General features: G+C 33.9%; 1 annotated feature.

Moving 5' to 3' along the window:
- Nucleotides 917–1211: an enhancer, noted in NCBI's record as "tiled region #3371; HepG2 Activating DNase matched - State 9:DNaseU". NCBI's record gives its function as "activates a minimal TATA promoter and a strong SV40 promoter by Sharpr-MPRA in HepG2 cells {active_cell/tissue: HepG2}" and the evidence as "EXISTENCE:reporter gene assay evidence [ECO:0000049][PMID:27701403]".

Raw genomic sequence — 7206 nt, forward strand, 5'->3', positions numbered from 1 at the left:
CTCTCTCTCCTGCCACCATGTAAGGTATGCTTGCTTCCCCTTTGCCTTCTGCCATGATTGGAAGTTTCCTGAGGTCTCCCCAGCCATGTGGAAATGTGACTCAATTAAACCTCCTTTCTACACAAATTACCCAGTATCAGGGACCAATCCCAGAGAGACAGAGATATGTGACATTTCAGACAGAGAATTCAAAAGAGCTGTTTTGAGGAAAATTAAAGAAATTTGAGACAACACAGAGAAGGAATTAGAAATACTATCAGATAAATTTACCAAAGATATTCAAAATTCAAGAGTCCAGCAAAAATTCTGCACCTGAAAATTCATTTGACATACTGAAGAATACATCAGAGTCTTTTAATAGCAGGATTGATCAAGCAGAAGAAAGAATTAGCTCAAAGACAGGCTATTTGAAAATAAACAGTCATAAGAGATAAGATAAAAAATAATAAGAAAAATGAAGTACACCTACAATATCGTATTTGTCCATTTTCACACTGCTATCAAGATTGGTCCCTGGTGCTTTTTTCAGTATTTTTTGTGAGGTCATATTTTTCTGGATGGTCTTGATGCTTATGGTGTTCAACAGTCTCTGGGCATTAAAGAGTTAGGTATTTATTATAGTCTTCACAGTCTAGGCTTGTTTGCACCCATTCTTCTTGGGAAGGCTGTTCATGTATTTGAAGGGATTTGGGTGTTGTCATCTAAATTTTCGGTCACTGTAGCCATATGTGCATTAGGGATCACCCCAAGCCCAGAAACATTGTGTTTTTTACAGACTCATAGAAATACTGCCTTGGTAGTTTTAATTAACATCCAGAATAATTCTCTGGATTACCAGGCAGAGACTCTTGTTCTTACTTTCTGCCCAACAAACAGAGCCTCTCTCTCTCTGTCGAGCTGCCTGGAGCTGTGAGAGGAGTAACACAGGCACCTCTCTGGCCACCACCCCTGGGTGTATGCTGAGTCAAATCTGAAGCCAGCACAACACTGGGTCTTGTGCAAGGTCTGGTATAAACACTACCTGGCCTCTTCCTATGTTTGCTCAGGGCCCTAAGGCTCTGCAATCAGCAGGTGGTGGAGCCTGCCAGTCTGGTGACCTTCCCTTCAGAGTGGCAAGTTGCCCCAGGCCCTGAGTAGGTCCAGAGATGCCATAGAGAAGCCAGAGCCTGGAGTTGAAAACCTTAGAAAGCTAACTAGTGGTATATTCTACTGGAGGTGAGCCAGCACCCAAACTACAAGACAAATTCCTTCCCATTCTTCCTTCGTCTTTCCTCCTTTTTTTTTGTTTTCTTTTACAAATTACCCAGTCTCAAATAGTTTCTTTATAGCAGTGTGAAAATGGACTAATACAGAGAATTGGTACCGGCAGTGGTGCACTGCTATAAAGATAACCTGAAAATGTGGAAACGACTTTGGAACTGGATAACAGGCAGAGATTGGCACAGTTTGGAGGACTGAGAAGAAGGAAAATGTGGGAAAGTTTGTAACTTCCTAGACGCTTGTTTATCGGTTTTGACCAAAATGCTGATAGTGAAATGGAAAGAGACTATGGAGTTTTCTAGATATATAATTATATCTTCTGTTAAGAGAGACACTTTGGTTTCCTGTGTTTCTGTTTGGATGTCTTTTATTTCTTTCTTTTGCCTGTTTGCTCTGGCTGGCTAGGAGTTCCAGTGCTATGTTGAATAGGAGCAGTGAGAGACGGCGTCCTTGTTTGGTACCGGATCTCAAGGGCAATGCTTCCAGCTTTTGCCCATTCAGTATAATGTTGGCTGTGGATTTGTCATAAGTGGCTTGTATTATTTCGAGGTATGCTTCTTCAAAACCCAGTTTGCTGAGAATTTTTTAACAGAAAGGAATATTGAATTTTATCAAAACACTCCTCTGGATTTACTGAGATGATCATAGGGTTTTTGTTTTTAGTTTTCCTTATACAATAAATCCAATTTATTTATTTGTATGTGTTGAACCAACCTTGCATCCCAGGAATAAAGCCTACTTGATTGTGGCAAATTACTTTTTGATGTGCTGCTGGATTTGATTTTCTAGTGTTTTGTTGAGGATTTTTGCATGTATGTTCATCAAAGATACTCACCTGAAATTTTCTTTCTCCTTTCTGTGTCGGCCAGGTTTTGATGTAAGAATAATTATTTCCTTTTAAAATTAGTTGTGGAGGAGTCTCTCCTCAATTATTTGAAATAGTGTCAGTAGGATTAGTACTAGTTCTTTATAAGTCTGGTGGAATTTGGCTGTGAATCAATCTGATCAAGGGTTTTCTCTGATTGGTAGGTATTACAGATTCAATTTCAGAACTTGTTATTGGTCTGTCTAGATATTTAATTTCTCCCTGGTTCAATCTTGGAAGGATGAATGTTTCTAGAAATTCATCAGTTTCTTCTAAGTTCTCTAGTTTGTGTGCATAGACAAGTTCATTATAGTTCCTAAGGGTTAATATTAATTTTTTTTGTATTTTTGTGAGGTCAGTGGTAATGTCAGATTTGTCATTTCTGATTGTGTTTATTTGGATCTACTCTTTTTTGTTTTCTTCTTTAGTATAGCTAGTGGTCTATCAGTCTTATTTATTCTTTCAAAAAACCAACTTTTGTTTACATTGATCTTCTGTATAAATTTTCATGACTTACTTTCATTCAGTTCAGCTCTAACATTGGCTATATTTTCTTCTACTAGCTTTGGAGTTAGTTTGCTGTTGTATTTCTACTTGGCTTAGCTGTAATATTATATTGTTAATTTGATATCTATTTTCTGATGTAGACATTTAGTGTTACAAACTTTTCTCTTAATACTATTTTAGCTGCGTTCTAGAGATTTTCATATTTTTATCTTTGTTTTCATTAGTTTCAAAGAATTTCTTGATTAATGCCTTAGTTTCTTTCTTTACCCAAAAGTTATTCAGGGGCAGGTTGTTTAATTTCCCTGTAAAGGGATGGTTTTGAGATATCTTATTTGTATTGATTTCTATTCTAATGAGACAATGGTCCAAGAGTGTGGTCAGTATGATATTTTTTAATTTTTGAATTGGTTGAGAATTGCTTTATGGCCAAGCATGTGGCCATTCTTAGAGTATGTTCCATGTGCAGATGAGAAGAAAGTACATTCTGTTGTTGGGTGATATGTTCTGTAGATGTGTGTTAGGTTCATTTGTTCAAGTGTTGCATTTAGGTCTCAAATATATTTGTCAGTTTTCTACCTCAATGATCTGTCTCATACTGTTGGTAGGGTGTTTAAGCCTTCCACTATTATTGTGTAAATATCTAAGCATATTTGTAAGTTTCTAAGAACTTGTTTTATTAATCCGAGTGCTCCAGTGTTGGTTGCGTATATATTTAGGATTGTTAAGTCTTCTTGTTGGACAATCTCTGTTTAAAGTTATAATCAGTGTCTTTGAAAATAAAAGTAATTGTTACATGATGACATTTGCCTTTGATGCCTTCCAACTTCATTGTTCAACTACTATATTTTATCTCTTGAACTTTTAATCTCCCTTCTCTCAATCCAATGTTAACAGCCCTATGATCTTCAGAAACCTTACTTAAATAAAACCATGGTGGTCTGTTCTCCTTGATTCCATAGTATTTATAGCAATTAAGGCAGTTTTAAAGCCATAATAATGATAAAATACAACAGTATGTATAATAATGTATAACCATATACACATATAACTTTGCATGTAACTATATTTACATATATAAAACATTAAAACAATAACAATCAAATAATTCAGTGGCATTAAACACATTCACAGTGTTGTCAATTCATCACTACTATCTATTTAGAAAACTTTTTCATCATTACAAATAGAAACTCTTTAGTCATTAAACAACAACTCTCCATTCCTCCATACCCCCAACCCGTAGCAACCACTATTTACGTTATCTGTGAATTTCACCATTCTAGTTGCTTCACATAACTGGAATCACACAATATTTGTCCTTTTGTATCTGACCTATTTTATTTAGCATAACAGTTTTAAGGATTATTATTGTCATATCTTATAATTGATTTTAAGGCTAAATAATATTCCATTTTATGTATATGGCACATTTAGTTTGTCCATTAATCTGTTAATATACATTTAATTTTTTTGACTTTTGGTTATTATGAATAATGTCATAATGAACATTCATGTACCAGTACCTTTTTGAGTCTCTACTTTCAATTCTCTTGGTTATATACCTGCAAGTAGAATATTTGGATCATATGGTAATTCTACATATAACTTCCTAAAGAATTGTCATACTGTTTCCACAGGAGCTGCACCATATAGATTTCCACCACCAAAGCAGAAAGGTTTCAATTTCTCCATATTCTTTTCAACATTTATTTTTCATATATATATATATATGTGTGTGTGTGTGTATATATATATATATATATATATACACACACACACACACACACACATAGCCATCTGATGTGCATTAAGTGGTATCCCATTAGGGTTTTTATATGCATTTTCCTTATGATTAGTTTTGTCGAGCATCATTTCATACAATTAATGAGCATAAGTTCATTTTCTTTGAATAAATGTCTTTTTAAGTTCAATGCCTATTTTTATATTGGATTTCTTGTTGTTGGGTTGTACAAGTTGGTTATTCTGCATATTCATATTCTATTCAATATTTTATTTAATGATATGTTCTCCCATTCTGTGGGTCACCTTTTCACTGACTTGATTGGGTCACTTGATGAATAAAAATTTTTAGTTTTGACGCATTCTAATTATTCTACTTTTTTTTCTTGACTCTGCTTTTGATGTCATATCCAAGAAATTATTATCAAATCCAATATTATAGAAATTTTCCTGCATATTTTCCTCTAAGGGTTTTATAATTTTAGATCTTAAGTTTAGCTTTTGATCCATTTTCAGTTAATTTTTATATATGATATAAGATAATGGTCTAATTGCTTTTCAGTGTGTATATACAGTTTTCCTAGGACAACTTGCCGAAAAGAATATTTTCACTTTGAATGGTCTTGAAATTCTAGTCAAAGAGTCATTGACTAGAAAAGTTAGGGGTTATTTCTGGGCTCTTTATTATATTCCATAGGTTCACATATTGCCAGTTTATTTCTTTCAAATATATAACTTCAAATATATATATATTTACATATATATGTGTGTATATATATATATGATAGGTCTTCAAAAAGTTCATGGAAATGTATATTATGAAAAAACAATGCATGGATTTCAAAAATTTTTATACACAAATAAACTCATATTAACTTGTTAGAACATGTCTGCACAGGATCTAGTTTAAGGGACCAAGAATTATAAGACATCAGTTTGAAAAGAACCCCTATAAGAGTGACATAAATTTTGCTAAAATTGAAGCAAGAAAGAACAACAAATGTATCATGAGGCCTGGGTGAAATAATGGTAAAATCACTGATGTTTTACTAAAGTTTATGGCGACAATTCCCCAAAGATATTATCAGTTTACAAATAGATAAACTCATTTTAAAAAGAGAAGAGAAAGTGTTGAAGATCAAGCCCCGAGTATCAGATTATGTACATCAATTTGTGAGAAAAAAAATGTATCTTGTTTGTGCTCTAATTAAAGACGAGCAATAATTAACAGCGGAAATAATAGCTAACACAATAGAAATATCAATTAGTTCAGCTTACACAATTCTGACTGAAAAATTAATGTTGAGCAAACTTCCCACTTGATGGGTGCCAAAATCATTACACCCTCATCAGCTGCAAATCAGAGCAGAGCTTTCAATAAAAATTTTTAATAAGTAGGCTCAAGGTCCTGAAGCATTACTTCAGAGAATTGTAACAGGAGATGAAACATGGCTTTACCATTACAATCCTGAAGACAAAGACAATCAAACCAATCACTATTGAGGATGGAAATGATCCAGTAAAAGCAAAAGTATAACATTCAAGAGCAGAGGTTTGGGCAACAGTGTTTTGGAATGCTCAATGTATTTTTGCTTGTTAACTTTCTGGAGGGGCAAAGAACTATCAGTCGGCTTAATATGAGAGTGTTTTGAGAATACCCAAATATTTAGCACACACACACACACACACACACACACACACACACACATGCCTGGGAAAGCTTCACTATGGAGTCTGTCTCCACCATGAAAATGTTCTTGCTCGCTTCTGTCATAAAACAAGGGCAATTTTGTGAGAGTTTCAAAGGTAAATCATTAGGCATCCACCTTACCATTTTTGGACACTTCTGACATATTTTTATTTCATGAGCTTAAAACAATCTGGAAAGGGCACTTATTTTTCTTCAGTTAATAATGTAATAAAGACTACACTGACATTGGTAAATTTCCAGGACCCTCAGTTCTTTACGGATGGACTAAATGGCTGGTATCATCCCTTACAAAAGTGTCTTGAACTTAATAAAGTTTGTACTGAGAAATAAAGTTTATATGTTTTATTTTTATCTTTTATTTTTTCGCGAACCTTTTCAAGTCTCTCTCTCTGTATACATATACATAACTTTAAATATAATGTCCAACTTCCTCCTGACCTCCAAAGTTTGTAATAAGAACCCAGCTAATAATCTCATTTTTTATGGTTAAAGACTGTAGTAGTTCACTATTTTGCGACTGATCCAAACTCTTTTTTCAAAGAACATTTCTTTTTATGTGGGCCCACTGAATTCGGCTTCTTTAGTTAGCATTCAGCTAATGTTTTGACACAGATTCCCTTTAATGCCAGGAGATAAACCAAACAAGCAACAGAAAAGAACTACCACCATTCCCAATTTCTCCACACTGGCTTTGTGCTGGAGCATTTTTTCCAACATTAGCTAGGCTTGGACTCATCCTACTGATAATCCTGAAGTGAAAGCTTAAAGTTTTCTCAGGTTCTTACTGAACATGCCTCTTGTCTGAGCATGTATATGGCTTTCTAAATTGTCCTGTACATGCTGTTTTGATGTTTAAACTAATTAGAGAAAGTCTTTTTCCAATTAAGAACTATGATTTATTTTTATAATGTTATATTATAGTAAAATGATAGTATTTGCCATGTACTAAGAATCTACTACGTTCAAACAATTGTGTCACAACTTGTATATACATTAACAATCTATACAAGAAATCTGCAAGGTGAGTATTATTACCTTTGCTTTGTAGATAAAGAAACTGAAGTGCATAAAAATTAATTAAATTCCCATTGTCACAAAATTAATGTGGCACATTCAATTCTGT

Source organism: Homo sapiens, chromosome X (genome assembly GCF_000001405.40).
Source record: "Homo sapiens chromosome X, GRCh38.p14 Primary Assembly".
Classification (NCBI taxonomy): domain Eukaryota; kingdom Metazoa; phylum Chordata; class Mammalia; order Primates; family Hominidae; genus Homo; species Homo sapiens.